General features: G+C 36.1%; 1 protein-coding gene across 8 annotated transcripts in view; it reads left to right on the top strand.

Moving 5' to 3' along the window:
* The window catches only part of NALCN (sodium leak channel, non-selective), a 363,404-nt gene that overhangs the window by 43,608 nt on the left and 295,117 nt on the right, over nucleotides 1-24,679 (top strand). The window lies entirely within an intron of this gene.

Raw genomic sequence — 24,679 nt, 5'->3', positions numbered from 1 at the left:
TGCTAAATTTTGTCCAGTGCTTTTCCGTTTTGTTCAGTTAATGTAATGAATTACATGATTGACTTTTTAAATAGAAACCAATCTTGCATTTCTGGTATATTGCTAATTTGGTCATATTGTATTCCTCTTTATACATTGGAAGATTTGATTTGCTAATGTTTTTGTTACAAATTATTGCATCTTTGTTCACAAGGAGCATTATTTTTAGGTTTTTTAAATTGAAATATCTTTACCGGGTCTTGAAATCCGGGTAATGCTGTCCTCATAAAACAAGTGGAACATGTTTCCAAGGGTTAATATAAGATTCATATTCTTTCTTTCTTAAATGTTTGATAGAATTCATGAGTAAAACTCAGGGCCTGAAATTTTCTTTGTGAGAACGTTTTTCATTACAAATTAAATGTATTCAACTTACAGAGCTATGGAGTTGTTATCTTTCTTGTTCTGTTAAGTTGGTAAATTTTGCTTTTCAAAGAGCTTACCTATTTTTATAATTTGTCAATATTGCATAATGTTTATACAAATGCCCTCTGATTATCTTTTGAATGTCTGATTATCTTTTTAACATCTGTAGAATAGTGGTAATAAGCCATTTTTTCCTGACATTGATAATTTGTACCTTTCTCTCCATTTTTTTATGTCTTCTCAATTGTATTATTCTTTTCACACACACACAAGAATCTTTGCCCTATTTAATGTTCTCTATTGTTAGTCTGTTTTTCATGTTGATTTTTTATCTTCATTATTTCCTTATTTCTGCTTTTTAGTTTTTGTTTTCTTTTTCATCTTTCATAAAATGAAGGTATATAGACATCTTTTAACATTTTTCTAATACAATAATTTAAAAATATAATTTTCCTCTAAGCACTGTTTTAGCCTCTAAGCACTGTTTTAGCTGCATTTCCAAAATGTTGATATGTTGTATTTTTATTATTATTCAATTCAAATATCTTCTAATATATGTGATTTCTCCTTTGACCTGTAGGTTATTTAGAAGTGCATTTTTAGAAGGATGAGATTTTCTAAAAATGTTATTTGGGTGCATAATTTTATTCTGTTGTGGTCAGACAATAGTCCCTGTGAAATTTCAGCCTTTTGAAATTCATTAGGAATCATTTTAAGGACCAGTATATGGTCTGAATTGGTGAAAATTCCATGAGAATTTGAAAAGAAAAAAGTGAAATCTGCAGTTTTTGAGTATAATATCTATAAATGTCACCAAAGTCAAGTTGGCTGATAATTTGTTCTGGGTATTTCTATCCTTCTTGGTTTTTAAAATCAGGGTTGTTCTAGCAATTGCTGAGAGAGTACTATTCAATTTTCTAGACATGACAGAAATTTTCAATCTCTCTTATTTTTGTCAGTTTTTGCTTTCTATAATTTTCAACTTTAATTAGGCGCATAACGTGTCATTGTATCTTTCAGATGGGCTGACCTTTTTATCGTCATGAATTTTGAATTTTTTTCCTAATTAGCTTCGGGATGCCAGGGTATATGATGGGTCAAGAACATGACGTTTCAAATTTTTCAGTAATCATAACTCTAAAGTAATGTGTAACTCTGAAATAATTTATTTTATTTAATCATCTTTTATCTTATTAATCAATTGATTTGTTCCCACAATTACTTACGTGTACTTTAGACCATTCCTGGATTGACAGTAAAAGGGAGCACATGACAAATTCTTAGTTTTAGAGCATGGGCTGCACAATCCTGAGCCCAGCCTGGTGGTGATGAAATTAAGCCCAGTACTAAGAGCGTAAATGAAGAAGAAACTCAGTAGTAAGAGAGTGTGGACCAACTGGTCAGATGCTCTAATCAGCAACTCTCATTCCACTGTCAAAACCTTGGAGATTTTGTATGTTTTTTAAATAGGTGAAGTGAATCAAGTGGTGCCTACCAAATTTATTTTGTCCTCTGCATCAGTGCGTGGCATACAACATTAACAATGAGAAGCAACTAACTCCTATAAGCTATTTTGGGGGAATAGAGGATGGTACAAATATCACAACTTTACAGCAAATATTACAACTCCTTCAAAACACAGTTTGGCAGTTTTTAAAAAAATAAAAATAAAAGAGTTGATCAAGCTGGGTACAGTGGCACACACCTGTAATCTCAGCACTTTGGGAGACTGAGGTGGGATGATCACTTGAGCCCAGGAGTTTGAGACTAGAGTGAGCTATGATTGCGTCACTGCACTCCAGCCTGGGTGATAGAGTGAGACCCAGTCTCTAAGAAGTAAAAATGAAAGAAAGAAAAAAAGTTGGACAGGCACCTGCCACATCTCATTTATTCCACTCCAGGTATTTAACCAAAATAAATAAAAATGTATGTCCATAGAAAGATTTACACATGAATGCCCACAGCAACTTTATTCATAGTACTCCAAACTGGTGACAACCCAAATTTCCATCAACAGATAGATAAACTAATGATGGTATATCCATATAATAAATACTGTTTAATAATAATAAATAATGAACTATTGATGTATACAGCATCTTGGATAAATCTCAAAATAATTATGATGACTGAATAAAGCCAGATTTAAAAAGAGGACATGTTCTATTATTCCATTTACATAAAATTCTAGAAAATGCAAACTTATCTTTAATGATAGAAAAGAAATCAGCAGTTGCCTAGTGATAAAGGTTGTGGTGGGAATTAAGGGATTACAAAGGGGCCTCAAGAAACCTTTGGGGTTTATTGACATGTTCATTATCTTGACTGTGCTTCTGTACATGTGCCAAAACTTATCAAACTGTACACTTTCGTATGTGCAGTTTATGTTATGTCAGTTACACCCACTGAAACTGCTTAAAATGTCTCAGTGTGAAGTAGAAATCTAATTTTTCATATGGTTAAGCAATTGTGCCTGCACTATTTATTGTGTGCTATTACCCACTGAGTTTAGTTTCACCTGTCTCATTCACTAATTCCCTGTCTATACGTGGGTCTGTTCCTGTGGGGCTCTGTTGTGCTTCACTGGTCTATTGGACTACCTCTTTGCCAATATCACACTCTGAAAGTCTTTCAAATTACAATCTGGCTTTACACATGGGGTCATATTTCCAGCTTTCAGCTTTACATGGGCTCAAGACCTGGTCTTCCGCCTCACATGGGCATTAAAACCCAGGCATTAGCTCCCATTCATAACACTATGTCAACTCATGTTCCTTCTGTTCCTACTCATTTACTGCTTTCCTTCTTATGTTTTGACATTTTGGAATGCAGGTTTTGTATTGTGAGCCTAAATGCGGAGTTTTTAATGCTATCTATTTGTTTGTAGTGGAAGGAGTTGAATTTGGTGTAGTCCATCTTGCCACAACCAGGACTCACATCCATAGCTATTTTTTTTTCTATTTTTGTCTAAGGTCCTTGAGGACACGTATGAGAAAGGTAAAGAGGATATTGTGTTATATTCATCTTTTTATCCTTACTACCTAGTATCCTAACACAGAATAAATAATTAGTAACTATTTATTGAAGGCATGGTTGAGAACATATTCTATTTAGACAGATAATATTAACATGATGACAAATTGATAAAGAAGATGAAATAAAAAAGAAACAGAGAAAAGTAAGTTGCTAAAAGCAGGAAAGGAGAAATGGCTAAAAAATAGAAAAACAAAGTTTAAGCAGAAAGAAGCAGTGAATTAGTTCATATACGGAGTAAGAAAATTGAAGCAAGTGGTGAGTAAGGGAGTTGACTGTGTGGGTGAGGGAAGAGACAAATGCATGGAAGAAAATCTGTAGGTAGTTGGATTTATTTTTTTAGTGTATGTAGGCTGTAGAATATGCCTAGATTGTTCTATGAGTGAATATGAAAATGGAAAAAGATATTGTGTGGGTTGGAGACAATCAATATGGAGATGAAGAACAGGGAAATCTTCTGGATAAGAAAGCAGCTGTGTAGTACTGCAGTGGGTACAGAGGCTGGCTTCAAATTACCGTTTTATTAAAACCAAGTCAGAATGTGAGAGTTATAAAACTTGTAAATGCAGCTAGAAGATCAGGCATTATGCTGGCAAACGAAAGCTCATATTGGCACATAAATGATCGCAGAAATTGAGAACAGATACACGAATGTCTTCTGAACTCATGACCCTAGAGTTGCTTCAGTAAGTATTCTTTGCTAGTTCCACGCTGTATTTGGTACCAAGAAAAGAATGATACTGAAAAAATGCATGAAAACATGCCTTGTGATCTAAATATTAGCTCCAGCTCATTACTTTATCCTAAAAATGAAGTTCACCATGAAAAATTTCATAAATGTTGACAGAATGCTTAGTTACCTGAGACATAGCCATTATGGTGAAATGGCTGCATTTTTCTCTTTCCCATATGTGTAAAACCTGCCTAGTAGCATACACACACACACACACACACACACACACACACATTTATTTTGTCTTCTTTTTATGTGACTCTTTGTTTACTATTTAAGAAGAAAATGCTTAACTAGCCACATGGTAGTAATGTTGCTCATAATCACAACTGTTATAGCTTTGATAATTCATTTCAAGAATCTATCAATAATATCTTTTTTGTTGTTGTTTTTTTGAGACAGACTCTCACTCTGACACCCAGGCTGGAGTGCAGTGGCATGATCTCAGCTTACTGAAACATCCATCTCCCAGGTTCAAGAGATTCTCCTGCTTCAGCCCCCCAAGTAGCTGGGACTACAGGCGTGTGCCACCACACCCGGGTAATTTTTGTATTTTTAGCAGAGACAGGGCTTCATCATGTTGGCCAGGCTGGTCTCGAACTCCTGACCTCAAGAGATCTGCCTGCCTCAGCCTCCCAAAGTGCTGGGATTAAAGGCCTGAGCCACCATGTCCAGCCTTATTTTTAAAAAAAAATTTCAGTTCAATATTACTGCATTTTAAAGCCCCACACATAAGCAGAAAAACTGTCAGCACCATTTTACCGTTACTATTAGCCCAGACATAAATGTAGTTTTACTCTTAGAGACTCAAGAAATATCCAAACTCAAAATAAAACAGAAAATGTTAATTGATTTGAAAATTTTTAAACTTTTCTGTTTCCTTTTGTAGCCTCTAAACTATGACTTTTTTTGCTGCTATAAAGACACATGCACACGTATGTTTATTGCAGCACTATTCACAATAGCAAAGACTTGGAACCAACCCAAATGTCCAACAATGATAGACTGGATTAAGAAAATGTGGCACATATACACCATGGAATACTATGCAGCCATAAAAAATGATGAGTTCATGTCCTTGGTAGGGACGTGGATGAAATTGGAAATCATCATTCTCAGTAAACTATCGCAAGAACAAAAAACCAAACACCGCATATTCTCACTCATAGGTGGGAATTGAACAATGAGAACACATGGATACAGGAAGGAGAACATCACACTCTGGGGACTGTTGTGGGGTGGGGGGAGGGGGGAGGGATAGCTTTAGGAGATATACCTAATGCTAAATGATGAGTTAATGGGTACAGCACACCAGCATGGCACATGTATACATATGTAACTAACCTGCACATTGTGCACATGTACCCTAAAACTTAAAGTATAATAATAATAAAATAAAATAAAATAAAATAAATTTCAAAAAAGTCAAAAAAAGAATTCCCTGTGTAAGAACATTCAAAGTGAAAGGAGCATCATAGGGAAAAGACAAACCGTGAAAGCAGAGAAATAGGAGACGCCACATCAAGACACCACCATGCTTACAAGTTGGCATTTTATTCTGAAGACCATAATGAACTGCCAAAGAAGCTGAAACCTAAAATAAAATTATTGTTTTTACATATAAAGATGATTTTTCACATCTATATTTATGATCTCACCTTTTAAATCAGTATCTACTTTTGAAAATGTACATGTAACCTTCAACATATACACAGAAAATAAGATAAACTAATTTATATAGTTTTGTTTCAATCCTACACAATTAGAGTTGATTTTTACTCCATATTTAGATTTCCAGAATCCCAGCTCATTAATTTAATATTTATTAAGCATAAAAGCTTTAAGACCTAGAATGCATGGGACGTGGAATTAAGCACTAGGGATAAAAGAGGAAGAAAAAAATAGGTCATGTCCTGGAGGAGCTCACACTTGAGGCAGCCAAAGATTAATTACCTTAGGCATTGATTAGTAATAATAATAATAATTAGTTAGAAAGTGTTATCAGATGTCAAAAAAGAGAGAAAATGTGAGTTTTATAGTCTTTGTAAAGAATATGACCTTTGAGCAAACTCTAGAATTAGGAATGGAGTGTTTGAATTGGAAATTAAGGCAGGATAATACCTTTCAGATGAAACAATGTAATAGAGTACTAGGATGTATAATAGAATGCTGGCCCCAAACTGGGATGGTAGATTTAAGTTGTGAGTTTCTTTCTACAACTGCAGAGTCCATTGAATAAATACAACTTTATATATTAAAATTAAAAAAATAAAAAAAAATAAAAAAAGAAATTCTGTCATTTGGAATAACAGGAATGAATCTAGAGGACATTATGCTAAGTGAAATAAGCCAGGCACAGAAAGATCAATACTGCATGATCTCACGCATATGTGGAATCCTAACCAGTTAATTCATTGAAGTAGAGAGGACAATGGTGGTTATCAGGGGCTGCGGTGAGAAGGAGATGGAGCTGCAAGGGAATGAGGAGCTGCTGATCAAAGGGTACAAAGTTTCAGCTAGGCAGTAAGAGTAAGTTTTGAGATCCATGCACAACAGGGTGACAATGGTCAATAATAATGCGTTATATATGTCAACATAACTAAGAAAGTAAATTTCAAATGTATCATCACAAAAAAGTTAAGTGATATGATGGATATATTAATTGGCCCGATGTAACCATTATGTCTTGTATACATACATCAAAACATCACATGGTGCTGCATTAAAGTAATACAATTATGATTTGTCAATTGAAATACTATTATTTAAAAAATGTATTATACACATCTCCGAGTCACATATTAAGCTAAGGTATGATGGCTGTGTTTTCAGCAATCAGTGTTACCAGCTACTGCCGTGACCTCATTTCTCTTAATCATTTAAGAGAAACGATTAAGAGAAATTGTTAACAATTGTTCCAAGTTCTGCCTAATTGATTTGCATGTATTATAGCCTAATCATGACAGAGATTTCAGACCAGAAACTTGCATATCTTGGGTTTCATAGTTGACCTCCAGAACTGATTGTGTTTAATATGTGAGGCAAACAAGATAAAGAAGCAACACAATATATACAGTTTTGCTTTTAAATGGAACTTAGTTCCTGTAAGGCCCAATAGCAGGAAATCTTAGTTATGTCTTCAGTAGCAGTACTAGTAAAGCTTTAGATTCTTCTCTGTTAATGAATGGAGACCTAAGGCAATTATGAAAAGAGTAATGAGATTTGACTAAGCAAAGCAGCTCATTTCCTAAAGAAAGTTGAGGAGAGCAATGGCTTGTAGCAGAAACAGGTGTTGTGAAATACCAACTGTGATGGCAGAAATCTCCCCGAAGCTGGAACAGGAATGTTTAAAAATGAGCTGGCAGGTTAAATAGAAAAGATGAAGACTTACCTGACACCTTATTATCATTCCTGAAAAAGAAGGGAAACATATTCATAGCTCGGTATCAAATAATGAAATCTTATTTCCAAGAGTGAGATAATTAGAAAAACTTTAAGGTAAGTAAGTGTAACCATTAAATATATGAAAGTTTAATATAGAGAGAGCAGGATTCAAACAGGAACTCAGGAACATATTCGCGATGGCTGGACCACTAGCTTTAAGCCCAGAGGTAGGGTGATCACACATCACAGATGCCCAGGACAATCTTGGCTTATCCCTACTGTTTCAAAGTAATCACTAACAGCCTGTTATTCGATTTTAAGGAATCTCAATGTAGACAATGCATTTTATGGTCACCTTGCCCAGGGGAAGTTTATAGAACTTGGTATTTTATAAAATATCACCAAGAGTTGAATTAGAGATAATATAAAGTTGGATTTTTTTGCAGTTTGCTCTTGCTGGTCCAAATACATTTTACATTTATTAAAATAAATACATTAAAATTTATCAACTAAATTAAAATTTATTTGTCACGTATTCTTTAGGGTACTTGGCAAATAAGTGAAGTATTGTCTTATAAATTTTGTTGACAAAATAAAGAGGTTTTTTCATGGAATGCTATGCAGCCATGAGAAAGAATGAGACTATGTCCTTTGTAGCAACATGAATGAAGCTGGAGGCCGTTATCCTAAGCAAACTAACACAGGAAGAGAAAACCAAATACCGCTTGTTCTCACTTATGAATGAGAGCTAAACACTGAGTACATACAGACACAAAGAAGGCAACAACAGACACTGGAGCCTACCTGAGGGTGGAGGATGAGAGGAAGGTGAGGACTGAAAAACTACCTATCGGGTGCTATGCTTATTAGCTGAGTGGCGAAACAATCTGTACGCCACGCTCGCATGACACGCAGTTTACCTATATAACAAACCTGCACATGTATCCCTGAATCTAAAATAAAAGTTAAAAGAAAAAGAAATACAAATGGAAACATACTGGAATTTAGAGCATTAATTTTTAATTTCTAAGGACTTTATCAAGAGACAGTTTTGTAGAATATGTAAAATCATAATTGCCCCAAATTCATGCAACGGTCTATGACGTCTTCTTGATTCCTATGTATTTATTTATTTACATATGTTTATTGACACAATAGATGTAAGTATTTTTGGAGTACATATGATATTTCGATACATTGATGTAAGGCATAATAATCAAATCAGGGCAATTGGCATATCCATCACCTGAAACATTTTTCTTAATACTGGGAACATTTGAATTATTCTCTACTAGCTATTTTGAAATATGTAATAAATTACTGTTTACTATAGTCACCCTACTGATTTATCAAATGCTTAGGTCTTATTTATTTTATCTGACTGTATTTTTGTACCCATTCACCAACCTTTCTTCATCCAACCCTGGGCTTTACCCTTCCCCTTCTCTGGTAACAACCAATCTACTTTCTATCTTCATAAGATCCACTTACTTAAGGCCTAAATATGAGTGAGATCATGTGATATTTGTCTTTCTGTGCTTGGCTTATTTCTTTTAACATAATGACCTCCAGTTCTGTCCATGCAGCTGCAAACGTCAGGATTTCACTCATTTTTATGGCTGAATAGTATTAACACTGTGTGTGTGTATATATACATATCACATTTTCTTTATCCATTTATCCATTGGTGGGCAGTTAGGTTGATTCCGTATTTGGCTATTTGGAATAGTGCTGCAGTCAACATGTGAGTGCTGCTATCTCTTAAATATATAGATTTCCTCCCTTTTGGATATATACCCAATAGTGAAATTGCTGGATCATAGAGTTGTTCCATGTTTAGTTTTTTTCAGTCCGTACTGTTTTTCACAGTGGCTGTCAGAATTTGCATTACCACCAACAGTGTATGAGTGTTCCTGTTTCTCTACATTCTCACCAGCACTCACTGTCTTTTTTATAAAAGCCATTTTAACTTGGGGTGACATGATATTTCACTGTAGCTTTTATTTGCATTTCCCTGATGATTAGTGATGTTAACCATTTTTATATACCTACTTGCCATTTGTATGTCTTCTTTTGAGAAATGTCTATTCAGATTTTTTGCCCATTTCTTAATCAGATTATTAGATTTTTCCCATTGAGTTATTTGAGTTCTTTATATATTCTGGTTATTAATCCTTTGTCAGTTGAATCATTTGCAGACATTTTCCCTTATTCTGTGGGCTGTCACTTCAATTTGTTGATTGTTTCCTTTGCTGTGCCGAAGTTTTGAGCTTAATGCAATTCCATTTATCTATTTTTGCTTTAGTTGCCTGTGCTTTTCAGATTTTGTCCCCCCAAAAATTTGCCCAGTCCAGTGTCCTGGAGCATTTACCCAATGTTTTCTTCTAGGAGTTTCATAGATTCAGTTCTTAGATTTAAGTCTTTAATCCTTTATTATTTGATTTTTATATGATGAGAGGTAGGAGCATAATTTTATTCTTCTGCACATGGATATCCATTTTTCCCAGCACCATTTGTTGAAGAGACTGTCCTTTCCTTAATGTTCTTGATACCTTTGTCAAGAATGAATTGGCTGTAAAAGCATGTATTTATTTCTGGGTTTTCTATTCCATTCCATTGGGATATTTTCTGTTTTTTTACCAGTACCATGCTGGTTTGGTTGCTATAGCTTTGTAGCATATTTTGAAGTCAGTTAGTGTGATGCCTCCAGCTTTGTTCTTTTTGCACGAGATTGCTTTGGCTATTCAGAATCTTTTGTGTTTTAATATAAATTTTAGGATAGTTTTTTATATTCCTGTGAAGAATGTCATTGGTATTTTGATAGAGATTGCATTGAAACTGTAGATTGCTTCGGGTAGTGTTGACATTTTAACAATATTGATTCTTCCAATTCATGAGCATCGAATATCTTTCCATTTTTTGTGTCCACTTCAATTTCTTTCATCAGAGTGTTATAGTTTTCATTGTAGAGATCTTTCACTTCTTTAGTCACAATTATTCCTAGGCATTTTTAATTTTTTAATAAATATTGTAAATGGCATTGCTTTCTTGATTTATTTTTCAGATTGTTCACTGTTGGTGTATATAAATGCTATTAATTTTTGTATGTTGGTTTTGTATCCTGCAATTTACTGAGTTTGCTTATCATTTCTAACAGTTTTTGGTGGAGTCTTTAGGATTTTCTAAGTGTAAGATCATGTCGTCTGCAAATGAGGATAATTTTATTTCTTCCTTCCCAATTTGGATGTCGTTTATTTCTTTCTCTTATCTGATTGCTCTGGCTAGAACTTCCAGTAGTATGTTGAATAAATCTGATGAAAATGGGCGTCCTGATCTTGTTCCAGATCTTAGCAGAAAGGCTTTCAATTTTTCCGCCTTTGGTATGATGTTAGCCATGGGTTTGTCAAATATGGTCTTTATTGTTTTGAGGTATACCCCTTTTATACTCAATTTTTTAGTGTTTTGATAATAAAGACATGTTGAATTTTACCAAATGCTTTTTCTGCATCTATTGAAATAATAACATGGTTTTTGTTCCTGGTTTATTTATGTAATGTATCATGTTTATTGATTTCCATATGTTAAGCCATCCTTTCATTTCTGGGAGGTTAAATAATATGTCCAGATGGTAAGTAAGAAAGCCAGGATTTTAACTCAAGTCTAACTTCCAAGCCTATGTACGTTTTACCATTTGAGAAACTTCTGTATTTTAATTCTACATTCATAAACCTATAGACATATAGAGATCCACATCCATATGTATAAACTGTTTATAATATATGTAGTATAATTTCTACATTAAAGTTTTCATTAAGTCTGGTTTCTATCCCTATGTATATGTTATGTTTCATGGGATTCGACTTCATCTAAATCTATAAACTAGTGATATATTATATATTTTTAGTACTATCTATATATCTCTTTTAAAATTGTTCTGCACATTGATCTCCAAGATGTGAACCACCTGAGGTGCCAGAAACCAGCCTTTCATATGATAATAATATTAATAAAGTAAATATAAGAATATATTTCAGAATAAATTGAACTTTCAGATGAAAATTAATACCAGCATGATTTTTACCAGAATAGCAAAAATGTTTGTGAGAGTCTTCAGTATACCAAAAGAAAACCATGCAGTTTGAATGGGGGTCTAAAAGAAATGTAACTTATTTTGATCCATCTTTTGATCATATGTTTACTTCCCAAAAAGAAGATAATGTAATATTATAGGTTATAAGATTCTTATTTTTAGTGGTAAATAACTTTTATTGAACAATTGCTGTATGTTATTTTCTCACTTAATACTTATAACAACCCGATAAGTTATGTTCCATTTTTACACTGTATATTACAGCCAAGGAAATTGAAGCTGAGTAAAGTTAAATAAAGTGGCTGAGATGAAACAGCTTGTATCAGAAGCAAGACTAGACCCATTTCTCCCTCACACTGCTTTCTATGCTTTCAGTTGTAACTTGTTCAGTGTATGAGATAACCTTCCTTCAACATGTGTGTCCAAAATGTTTGAATAAAATATTTAGTTTTCCTTTAGTTACAAGGAGCCTATTCTTAAAAGACAAGTTCTCAGTGGGACGCATGAGTAAGTGGTTAATTACGATTGCTTATTTTAAGACTGAATTCTAAAGGCATGCACTGGAACTTCTGAACATCCTCTGTGAGTGTGGAATGAGGAGCTCTACCTATTCTGTCCCTCACAAATAGTGTTTACTGTAGCCGCCTCCACAGAATCGATATTTACTATCACTTTTGTATCTCAGGTTCCACCCAACCAGCTTGGTTTTCCCCATGATAGAAACCATAATAAGTATGCATAACTACAGCAGCACCAAGAGTAAATTTTGAAAATTAATTTTTAGGATGAAATCTCTTTGGTAAAGAAAATCACCTGGCAAAAGTTGTAAAAAATACTGATTCCAAGCCACATTTGTGATTCGTATTTTTAGGCAAGGCTGAGATTCTCAGAATTGGCCAGGTTAGAAATCAATCGTTTAAAATTTTAGTTTTGCAATTAAACTCCAAAAGATATGTTATAGAGTAGAACACAAAATTACATGGCTTTTTAAAAAAATAGACCTTGAGTCTTCAAAGAAATGTTAGTCTTCTAGCTAGCTGCTTACTGCCCTGCCCAAGGGTAGCATGCCTGTCCTCTTCCCTTAAGACTATTTCCCCAGAAATGTCCAAGGAGCACCAGAGGTAATTAGAGCCTCCTGTCTTTCCTGCAAAGAGGCAGGTATGTCTTTGTTTTCTGGGACGGACAACCATCTCAATTTTATTTATTTAGTGACTCTTACATGTTCTTATTTCTAGAGATTGAATTGGGCTGGTGTACTTTGTGGTTGAGTGTGGTTGGAGTCGTCAGGGGCATTGGCACTTTTAAAATCCCTCACTGACTTTACTTTTCGTGTTCACATCATTGGGGAGTTTGTAAATCCATTCTTTCATTGCTATAAAGAAATACCTGAAACTGGCAGGGCACGGTGGCTCATGCCTGTAATCCCAGCACTTTGAGAGGTCAAGACGGGCAGATGACTTGAGACTAGGAGTTCAAGACCAACCTGGGCAATATGGTGGAACCCCATCTCTACTGAAAATACAAGAAATAGCTGGGAATGGTACTGTGCACCTGTGATCCCAGCTACTTGGGAGGCTGAGGCACAAGAATCGTTGGAGCCGGGAGGTGAGGGAGGTTGCAGTGAGCCGAGATCATGCCACTGCATTCTAGCCTGGGTCACAGAGTGAAACTCCATCGAAGGAAGGAAGGAAGGAAGGAGAGAGAGAGAGAGAGAGAGAGAGAGAGAGAGAGAGAGAGGAAGAGAGGAAGAGAGGAAGAAAGAGAAAGAAAGAAAGAAAAAAAGAGAGAAAGAAAGAAAAAAGAAAGGAAAGAAAAAGAGAAAGAGAAAGAAAAGAAAGAAAGAGAAAGAAAGAAAGAAAAAGAAAGAAAGAGAAAAAGAAAAACTGAGACTGGGTATCTTATTTCTTTTATTACATTTTTGGGTCCTATATTTGTATCATACAGAATGAGTTCTGTATATTTTTCAGATGGAAAAGAAATATTGACTTAAAAGGTACCTCTCAAATCTTAATGTGTACAATAAACTGGAGATCGTGTTAATGTAGATTATTTTTTCAGAAGATCTGGAAGAAAGCCTCAGTTTCTGAATTTTTAACAAGCTCACCAGTAATGTCAATGTTTTTGGCCAAAGAAGAATATTTTGTCAAAAATTCAGTAAGTGGAAGAGCCTGTGTTTCTTTTTCTAGTTTTTCTGGCTTGTAAACAAAGATGAGAGTTTTCATTTACCAAAGACAGATATATGCAAAGAAAACCTAAGAAAGAAGGGCAGCTGCCAGATTAAATGTGATGGTTTATGCACATCAGCTGCATAAAGATACCTAATAATTAAGAGAAAAATAATTAACTCTGTAGTGCGACAGTCTGTCAGAGAGCTCTTTAACCAAGTGAATCATAAACATTAACTGCACTAGGACAAATTTTTATGATGTGCTGATGCACACAGAAGGACGCAGCATCACTGCTGTGATATTGCCCCCTCAAAAGTACATTATAGTCTAAATTTAACCATAAAGAGACATCAGTTTTATGCGAAGCTCAAGATACACGTATCTTTCATGTTCTGTAATTTGTAATGTTGATTTTAAGTAGTCTTTAGCACCCTAGGGAGCAAGCATCTCCTAATAATTTTTTTCAGAACTTTCTGGGTAATAAATGCCATCCTGTTAAATAAGTATTTTCTACTTTTTTTCCTGCTTTGTATCCATTTATTCACTTGTTTGCTTTTTAAAAAATTTTTACTTTAAGTTGTGGGATACATGGGCAGAATGTGCAGGTTTGCTACCTAGGTATACATGTGCCATGGTGGTTTGCTGCACCTGTCAACCCATCATCTATGTTTTCAGCCCCGCATGCATTAGCTATTTGTCCTAATGCTCTCCCTCCCCCTGCCCCTCACCCCGCGACAGACCCCAGTATGTGTTGTATGTTCTCATTGTTCAACTCCCACTTATGAGTGAGAACATGCGCTGTTTGGTTTTCTGATCCTGTGTTACGTTTGCTGAAGGTGATGGCTTCCAGCTTCATCCATGTCCCTGCAAAGGATATGATCTCATTTCTTTTTATGGCTGCATAGTATTCCATGGTGTATATGTCCCACATTTTCTTAGTCCAGTCTATCCTTGATGGGTATTTGGGTGGTTCCGTGTCTTTGCTATTGTAAATAGTGTTGCAAGAAACATACGTGTACATGTATCTTTATAGTAGAATGATGTCTATTCTTTTGGGTGTATACCCAGTAATGGGATTGCTGTGTCAAATTTTATTTCTGGTTCTAGATCCTTGATGAATCATCACATTGTCTTCCACAGTGGTTGAACTAATTTACATTCCTACCAACAGTGTAAAAGCGTTCCTATTTCTCCACATCCTCGCCAGCATTTATTGTTTCTTGACTTTTTAATAATCGCCGTTCTGACTGGTGTGAAATGGTACTGCATTGTGGTTTTGGTTTGCATTTCCCTAGTGATCAGTGGTGTTGAGCTTTTTTTCATGTTTTTTGGCTGCATAAATATCTTCTTTTGAGAAGAGTCTGTTCATATCCTTTGTTCACTTTTTGATGGGGTTGTTTCTTTTTTTCTTGCAAATTTGTTTACATTTCTTATAGGTTGTGGATATTAGACCTTTGTCAGATGGGTAGATTGCAAAAATTTTCTCCTATTCTATTCTGTAGGTTGCCTGTTCACTCTGATGATAGTTTCTTTTGCTGTGCATAAGCTCTTTAGTACTTCTAGTTTAATTAGATCCCATTTGTCTGTTTTGGCTTTTCTTGCCATTGCTTTTAGCATTTTCATCATGAAATCACTGTCCATGTCTATGTCCTGAATAGTATTGCCTAAGTTTTCTTCTAGGGTTTTTATGGTTATGGGTTTAACATTTAAGTCTTTAATCCATCTCGATTTAATTTTTGTCTAAGGTATAAGGGGTCCAGTTTTAGTTTTCTGCACATGGCTAGCAAGTTTTCTCAGCACCATTTATTAAATAGGGAATCCTTTCCCCACTGCTTGTTTTTGTCAGGTTTGTCAAAGATCAGATGGTTGTAGATGCGTGATGTGATTTCTGAGGTCTCTGTTCTGTTCCATTGGTCTATATGGCTGTTTTGGTACCAGTGCCATGCTGTTTTGGTTACTCTAGCCTTGTAGTATAGTTTGAAGTCAGGTAGCATGATGCCTCCAGCTTTGTTCTTTTTCCTAAGGATTGTCTTGGTTATACAGGCTCTTTTTTGGTTCCATATGAAATTTAGGGTAGTTTTTTTCTAATTCTGTGAAGAATGTCAATGGTAGTTTGATGGGAATAGCATTGAATCTATAATTTATTTTGGGCAGTATGGCCATTTTCATGATATTGATTCTTCCTATCCATGAGGATGGAATGTTTTTCCATTTGTTTGTGTCGTCTCTTATTTCCTTGAGCAGTGATTTGTAGTTCTCCTTGAAGAGGTCCTTCACGTCCTTTGTAAGTTGTATTCCTAAGTATTTTATTCTCTTTGTAGCAATTGTGAATGGGAGTTCATTCATGATTTGGCTCTCTGCTTGTGTATTTTTGGTGTATAGGAATACTTGTGATTTTTGCACATCCATTTTGTATCCTGAGATTTGCTGAAGTTGCTTATCAGGTTAAGGAGTTTTCGGGCTGAGATGATGGGGTTTTCTAACTATAGAATCACGACATCTGGAAACAGAAAATTTCACTTCCTCTCTTCCTATTTAAATACCCTTTATTTCTTTCTCTTGACTGATTGCTCTGGCCAGAACATCCAATACTATGTTGAATAGGAGTGGTGAGAGAGGGCATCCTTGTCTTGTGCCAGTTTTCAAAAAGAATGCTTCCAGCTTTTTCCCATTCAGTATGATACTGGCTGTGGGTTTGTCACAAATAGCACTTATTATTTTGAGATATGTTCCATCAATACCTAGTTTATTGAAAGCTTTTAACATGAAGAGTTGTTGAATTTTATCAAAGGCCTTTTCTGCATCTATTGAGAATCATGTGGCTTTTGTCTCTGGTTCTGTTTATGTGATGAATTACGTTTATTGATTTGTGTATGCTGAACCAGCCTTACACTTCAGGGATGAAGCCGACTTGATTGTGGTGGGTAAGCTTTTTGATGTGCTGTTGGATTCGGTTTGCCAGTATTTTATTGAGGATTTTTGCATTGATGTTCATCAGGGATATTGGCCTGAAGTTTTATTTTTGTTGTTGTTGTGTCTCTGCCAGGTTTTCGTATCGGGATGATGCTGACCTCATAAAATGAGTTAGGAAGGAGTCCCTCCTTTTCAATTCTTTTGGAATAGTTTCAGAAGGAATGATACCAGCTCCTCTTTGTACCTCTGGTAGAATTTGGCTGTGAATCTGTCTGGTCCTGGGCTTTTTTTGGTTGGTAGGCTATTAATTACTACCTCAATTTCAGAACTTGTTATTGGTTTATTTAGGGAGCCAACTTCTTGGGAGGGTGCGTGTGTCCAAGAATTTATCCATTTCTTCTAGATTTTCTAGTTTATTTAGGTAGACATGTTTATAGTATTCTGATGGTATTTTGTATTTCTGTGGGGTCAGTGGTGATATCCCCGTTATCATTTTTTATTGTGTCTATTTGATTCTTCTCTCTTTTCTTCTTTATCAGTTTAGCTAGCAGTCTGTCTATCTATTTTGTTAATTTTTTCAAAAATTAGCTCCTGAATTCATTAATTTTTTGAATGGCTTCTTGTGTCACTGTCTCCTTCAATTCTGCTCTGATCTTAGTTATTTCTTGTCTTCTGCTAGCTTTTAGATTTTTTTGCTCTTGCTTCTCTAGTTCTTTTCATTGTGATGTTAGGGTATCCATTTGAGATATTTCTAGCTTTCTGATGTGGGCATTTAGTACTATAAATTTCCTTCTTAACACTGCTTTAGTTCCCAGATATTCTGGTACGTTGTCTCTTTGTTCTCATTGGTTTCAAAGAACTTCTTGATTTGTGCCTTAACTTCATTATTTACTCAGGAGTCATTCAGCAGCAGGTTGTTCAATTTCCTTGTAATTGTGTTGTTTTGAGTGAGTTTCTTAATCCTGAGTTCTAATTTGATTGCACTGTGGTCTGAGAGACTGTTTGTTATGAGTTCAGTTCTTTTGCATTTGCTGAGCAGTGTTTTACTTCCAATTATGTGGTTGATTTTAGAATAAGTGCCATGTCGCACTGAGAAGAATGTATATTCTGTTGATTTGGGGTTGAGAGTTCTATAGATGTCCATTAGGTCCACTTGATCCAGAGCTGAGTTCAAGTCCTGAATATCCTTGTTAATTTTCTGTCTCGTTAATCTGTCTAATATTGACAGTGGGGTGTTAAATTCTCCCACTATTATTTTGTGGGAGTCTAAGTCTCTTTGTGGATCTCTAAGAACTTGTTTTATGAATCTGGGTGCTCCTGTATTGGGTGCATATATATTTAGGATAGTTAGCTCTTCTTGTTGAATTGATCCCTTTACCTTTAAGTAATGCCATTCTTTGTCTTTTTTTATCTTTGTTTGTTTAAAGTCCGTTTTCTCAGAGGCTAGGATTGCAACCCCTGATTTTTTTTTTTCTTTCCATTTGCTTGGTAGGTCTTCCTCCATCCCTTTATTTTGAGCCTATGTGTGTCTTTGCACATGAGATCGGTCCCCTGAATACAGCATACCAATGGATCTTAACTCTTTATCCAAGTTGGAGACTGGGTATTTTATAAAGAAGAAAGGTTTAATTGGCTCATGGTTCTCCAGGCTGTACAGGAAGCATGGCACCAGGCACCTGCTCAGCTTCTGATGAGGCCTCAGGAAGCTTACAATCATGGCAGAAGGCAGACGGGGAGCAGGCACATCACGTGACAAGAATGAACACGAGAGAGAGATAGTGGAGGGGAGGTGCCCTACACTTGTAAATGACCAGATCCCCTGTGAACTCAGAGCAGGAGCTCATTGATCACCTAGGAGTTGGCTCAAGCCATTCATGAGGGTTCTGCCCCTGTGATCCAATCACCTCCCACCAGGCCCCACCTCCAGCGCTGAGGAGTATACTTCGATGAGATTTGCGCAAGGACAAATATCCAAACTATATCAGGGAGTCGTTAGTATGTCTGGCCACCTTGAAAGGATGAAAGCTTATTGGAGTGGAAAAAAAATTGCCTCTCTCCAGCCATACAACTCAGTCAAACCACATTCAATTAACATAAATATATTTTGACCTCCAAGTATGTAAGAGGTGATTTATATTCACAATTTCTAATTTATAATACAGTTTCATAAATTTGATCTTCACAAGAAAGATGAGCAAATTGCTCCTTGCCAAAGTTAATTGGCTGAATTACCAACTGAAGTTCTGTTATGCTTGGCCCCAAATTCTGGTGGCCCCTTTCCATTATGTCAACTGGCTCTCTTTACATATAGATTCTCACCCTGTAGTTTCCAGTTCCTAAGGCAAAAGGAGAAAAGTTGCTGCGTGAGGATCTCTTGGCCCAGATTTTAAAAGTCAAAGACAGTGGACTGCCTTATAACCTCAAACGGTTTCACATTTCAGTTTGGAGCTGATCAGTGCATCCTCTGTGTCCTGATGCTTAACTTTTCTTTTCTTTTCTTTTTGAGGTGGAATCTCACTCTGTTGCCCAGGCTGTAGTTCAGTGGCATGATGTTGGCTCAGTGCAACCTCTACCCGCTGGGTTCAAGTGATTCTCCTGCCTCAGCCTCCCAAGTAGCTGGGATTACAGGCATACGCTACCAAACCTGGCTAATTTTTGTATTTTTAGTAGAGATGGGTTTTACTGTGTTGGCCAGGCTGGTCTCGAATTCCTGACCTTAGGTGATCCGCCCGCCTCGGCCTCCCAAAGTGCTGGGATTGCAGGCGTGAGCCACTGCACCCGACCAACTTTTCTGATATTATTTTGAATATGTTCATGCCCTCTCATTGCCTTATCCTAACCCAACTGCAGTCTTCTGGCTTCTGTCAGGTGCACTGTCCCTTATCCATACTGGCAAAGTAGTTGAGGGAGTCAACTTGGGGAACATATATTATTTTAAAAAGCTATTCAGATATAACAAGATAACTATTTAAAATATTCCTTTAAAATAAAATCATGTACTGCATTGTCACTTAAATTTCATAGTCACAATATTTGAAAAAATACTTAATTTTACCATTTTTATGCATGATGGCTACAATTCTTTACAACTTTGCCTACCAACCCTTTCAGGAATGGGTGAAAGGAGTGGGAAAATCATATTAAAATACTCAGTTTTACAACTTATTTCCTAGAAAAAATGTGCCAGGTTAACTTGTTTATTAAAAGAGGTGTGATGTCAATATTATTTCCTGCTTCAGAATATTTATCTTGTTTTGCAGTTCCACTAAAAGTCCAGGCGGAGCCATTGAAAGTTTTCCAAAATCAATAAATAATTTATCTCTGCAAATAAGACTCTTGCTTTCCAGGGTGGGATTAGTATTCCAAAGCATCCAGCATTAGAATTAGCTAGACCAATTCATAGGAGTTTATAATTAATCCTGACCAGAGGAAGCTAAATAAGAGTGAAAATGAAGTCAGATGATTGTCTGAAGTGAAGCTGGAAGGCGGTAACAGCCAGACTAAGTTTTCTGTAAGTACATGCAATGACCAGGAAAACCTCTCAATCTAGGGGTCAGCTTTTAGCAAGATAATGTGTCTTGCTAAATTTTTATATCTGCCACAAAAGGCAAGACAAGCACCACGTAAGGTATCAAAGGCTATATTCATTATTCTCTTGAGTGCAAAAGAGTCTGTGTCTGTGTCTATGTATGATTGTGTGTGGGTGTAATTTTCTCCATGGGTTTATTTAGAATTGTGTTCCTCTATTTTTGATGTATTTCTAGAACATACTATATAAATAAAAATGAAGCCTTACAGATGCAATCAAAAACAAAATGCTCAAGTTGTATAGTGTTATCTGTTGCATGTGGATTTGTTGGGCTACTTATTTATTTACATCACTGACAATTTCTTATGGAATGCCGACTTCAGAAATGTATTGTAGCTTGGACTCTGCAAATGTCTTTTACAACAAATGGGTCAAATTTCGATACCAAGAAGTAATCCTTAGCCTGTTTGTCTTTAGCTTTTTAACAAAAAAAGGTAATAACAATGTAAACAAAATTGCTATGTATAAATTCCTATCATAGGTATATGTTTTGAAAATCTAGCAAGTAAATTTAGTAATAATTTATTTTGTGAGTATCTTTTGACCTTTTTTGTCCTTTCTCACCTACTAGGAACAGTTTATAATCAGCTCATGCTGCATCAGTCACAGTATCCATTTAGGGTAGCACGAATCCTTGTCTTTTACCCTAATCTATAAATCTCTAACAGTGTAGTTTAAAAATTGCTTTTGTATGATAACAACTGCTTGTTAACAATCCTTGTATCTCACTAAACAGCTACACTCACCAGAGAAAAGGTGAAAAGGTCTCTCTCTTTCTCTCTCTCTTTCTTTCTGTCACTCTCTCTCTCTCATATGCAAATGCAGGCTCTGACATTTTCACTTTCCAGAATGTTATGCTATTTATTCCATCCCTAGAACTAGTACGTGTGCATCCTTTAATAATAGTCACTCCAAGCAACACCCTATTGCAAGGTTTTCCCAGTACCCACCATCTGCCACCCGTAGTCATAGTTGATGTTTCCGCTTTGAACTTCAGTTAACATCAGGAGCATATAGATAGCTCTTAAAGCATTCATCACACTCTCCTGTGGTCATTCCTTTTTTATTCTCTCTCATACTAAGCAGTAAAGTCCCTGAGTCCATTTTATTCCTTTTATTCATCTCCATTCCTAGCATGCTGTGTGGCATAGAGTAGGCTTGTCAAAAATAATTATTATGAATTAATAAACAGACATTCAAATACAATTAAGTGCCCCCCTACGAATACAGGAAAATTTTTCTGAAAAGAGGCTAAGTCATCATAAGCATAGTCATATTCATTAATGACAGTGATTACAGAAGGCCAACACTAAGTGCAGTGCCAGAAGCCATGATGGTAGTTCCATATCTGTAGAGAAAGACGATATTGTGAATAACGAAGAGAGGAATCTTAACATGAAGTCTTAAGCTATTGCCTTTGTCGTTGGTGAGTCTTGTGGTGAGAGGAGAACTATGCACAGTGAAGCATATGTTGAATTATGGGGCACATGCTTTTGCTTAAGTATATCCCTTTTCTTTTATATGAAAGCGTTATGAGGTCCTTCTGGGAATTGTTTTTTAAACAGCTGGAAAGTTTCTCATTTTTCAGATGAGGAAACTGAAGCTCAAATGTTTCAAGTGAATCTCCCAAGGTAATTAAGTTGGTTAATCACCGAACTGAGATGATCATCTTTGTGTTGTGATATACAGCTCAGTGCTCTGCACCGCTAGGAGTGGTGAATAACTTAAAACCACAGGACTCTGAGGTCCTGAGGTATTGTTTGTGGCCATTATCAACAATTTTAGTAACAAGTTCAGAACACATTTTCTTAGATCTCAAACTCCTACAAAATGTTATTTGTAAATAGAATGTTTTGTTAAGAATTAAAAACAAACAAGCAAACATATGCTAGGAGGATAATTGAAGGCTTTTAAAAAAACAATTAGCTGCTCCCAGGGATTCTAGTACTCATTTTGATACATGGAAGCTACTAAAGCCAGAAATTTAAAACATTGAAAATCAGTGCCAATTTGTGGATTATTACACTTAAAAGTGCATAAAACAACAGGATCCACTTATTAAAGAGTTTCTGTAGTTTACAAATAAATAATTCACCATAGATTTAAATAATGGTAGAAAGACACATTCATTCATTCATTCATTTATTCAGAAAATAATTATTAAACATCTACTATATATTAGGTTTCTCCAGAGAGAATATAGAATAGAATATATTATATATATGTATGTGTATATACATATATGTATGTTGGCTTAGCTCAAAAGATATGTCTATAGATACAGATACAGATATAAAGAGATTTACTTTAAGGAATTGGCTCATGTAATTTTGTAGGCTGTTAAGACCAAAATCTTCAGGGCAGCCTGGAAATTTCAGCAGAAGCTGATGTGGCAGGCCAAAGGCTCTGCCAAAGATGTGGTAGGCCAGTGACCTCTCCCTGCAGAGAAGTCAAAATCTTTCCTATTAATAAGATGAGTCCCACTCACATTATGGAGGGTGACATGCTTTACTCAAAGTCTATCAATTTAAGTGTTAATCACAACTGTAAAATACCTTCACAGCAACATCTAGACTGGTGTTCAACCAAACAGCCAGGCACCATACTTTAGTCAAGTTGATACATAAATTTAACTATCATAGACGCTGTGTCAGGGACTTCATGGAATTGGAAATTACACTAAGGAACAGTTGAGTTTGGAAGACATCCAATGAACAGATGACCACACAAACATGAATTGCCTTTGTCTCAAGTGCCAGAAACAAAAAGTGAGGGTACCTTGAGAAGTTATAGCAGGGAAACCTGGCCCAGTGGAAGGCACTTGGAGTGGCTCCCCCGAGAAAATGATAGTTAAGCTGGGGCCTGAAGGCTACAAAAATGGGGTTAACCAAAGAAAACAGGAGAGACTTCCAAGTGGAGGAGAAGACCCTGCATTAGGCAGGAGCTGGGAGAAGGCCAACGTGGTCAGACACTGGGATACTTGGGGGAAAGGGGGTACAAAGGGGTGTTTGAAGTGTGGGAGGAGCCAGATCCTTCAGTATCTTGCAGACCATGTTACAGGTTTGCCACTGTTAAGGTAGGACAGTGATTATGAAGGGTCTCTCCATATGCTTTGTGCCAAATGTATCAGAAAGGCTAAGAGTGGGAGGCAGGGTGGCCAGTGAGGAGGCCAGATAAGAGTGTGTGTAGAGAGGGAGATGGAGAGAATGGAATTAGCTCAAAAGATATTTTGAGAATATGTTGGAGAACGTGACGATTACTTATGAGGGTTGAGGGAGAAGTAGGTATCAAGCATGATTCTAAGACTTCAAGTTTGCTCCACGGTTTGGAAGCTGGTCCTGTTTGTTATGACAGGGAACTCTGGTTTAGGATTTCAAATTGAATAAGGGACCTATTGAGCTGGAGGTACTTGTGGTGTAGCCAAGTGGAGAAATCTAATAAGCAGTTGGACATGTAGCTCTAAGACTCTACAACGATGTAAAGGATGACAGAGAATTGAGAAATCATGAAAGTGGATGAGATTGCCTGGGAGAGTTATCATGAAAAGAGAAAGGTCAAAGACAGAGCTCAGAGCAGCTCATGACTAAAGGTCAGCTCACGACTAGAGGAGATGGAAAAGCAGAATGGCCTAAGAAATATGGACAAACCAGCACCTTCAAAGCCAGCAGAGTTGCATCTGTGTCTTCCTCCCATACTCACATCTCTCTCCAACCACAGCCATGATCACTGTTAGTGATTCATGGAGTTAGGTTGGGTCCACCTGGATAATTCAGGATCATCTCCCAAATTTAATGTCTTTAGCCTTAATCACACCTATAACTTTAGTTCCCTTTTGCTATGCAACATTATCTACTCACAGGTTCCATATGTTAGAATGGGGACATCTTTAGGGGACCAGTATTTTCTCTACCACAAAAACAACAATTCAGAGCACTGCTGAGAGGTCACAGAAGATAAAACTAAAATTTTTCTGATTGGGTATATCATATGGAAGTGAACAAAAGTAATTTCATTGTCTTGGAGTCACAGAAATGGGCTAAAAAGTTAAAAGAGGGAGATTACAAGTAGATACTTTATTCAAGAAATATGTGAGTAAGAAATGCTGGTCTTGAAACCCGTTTAAACATGAGTGGATATTTATTACCACTGAAAGAATCATTGTCTATGTCCAGGATTTTCCTGGTGGGGCAAGAATTCCATCCACCCCACCCCCAACTCCAGAGAGTCACTTGTTCTCTATCCAAAGTACCTGAGGGAAAATGACTACGGAAATAATTAAGGTTAATGAATAAAAATAAACTCTGGAAGATTCTTGTTAACTGAAAAAAATGAAACAAAGATTAACAAATATATATTCTGAAACT

Source organism: Homo sapiens, chromosome 13 (genome assembly GCF_000001405.40).
Source record: "Homo sapiens chromosome 13, GRCh38.p14 Primary Assembly".
Taxonomy (NCBI): Eukaryota; Metazoa; Chordata; class Mammalia; order Primates; family Hominidae; genus Homo; species Homo sapiens.
Note: the sequence above shows the minus strand (reverse complement) of the source record. Positions and strands in the feature narration are given on the sequence as shown.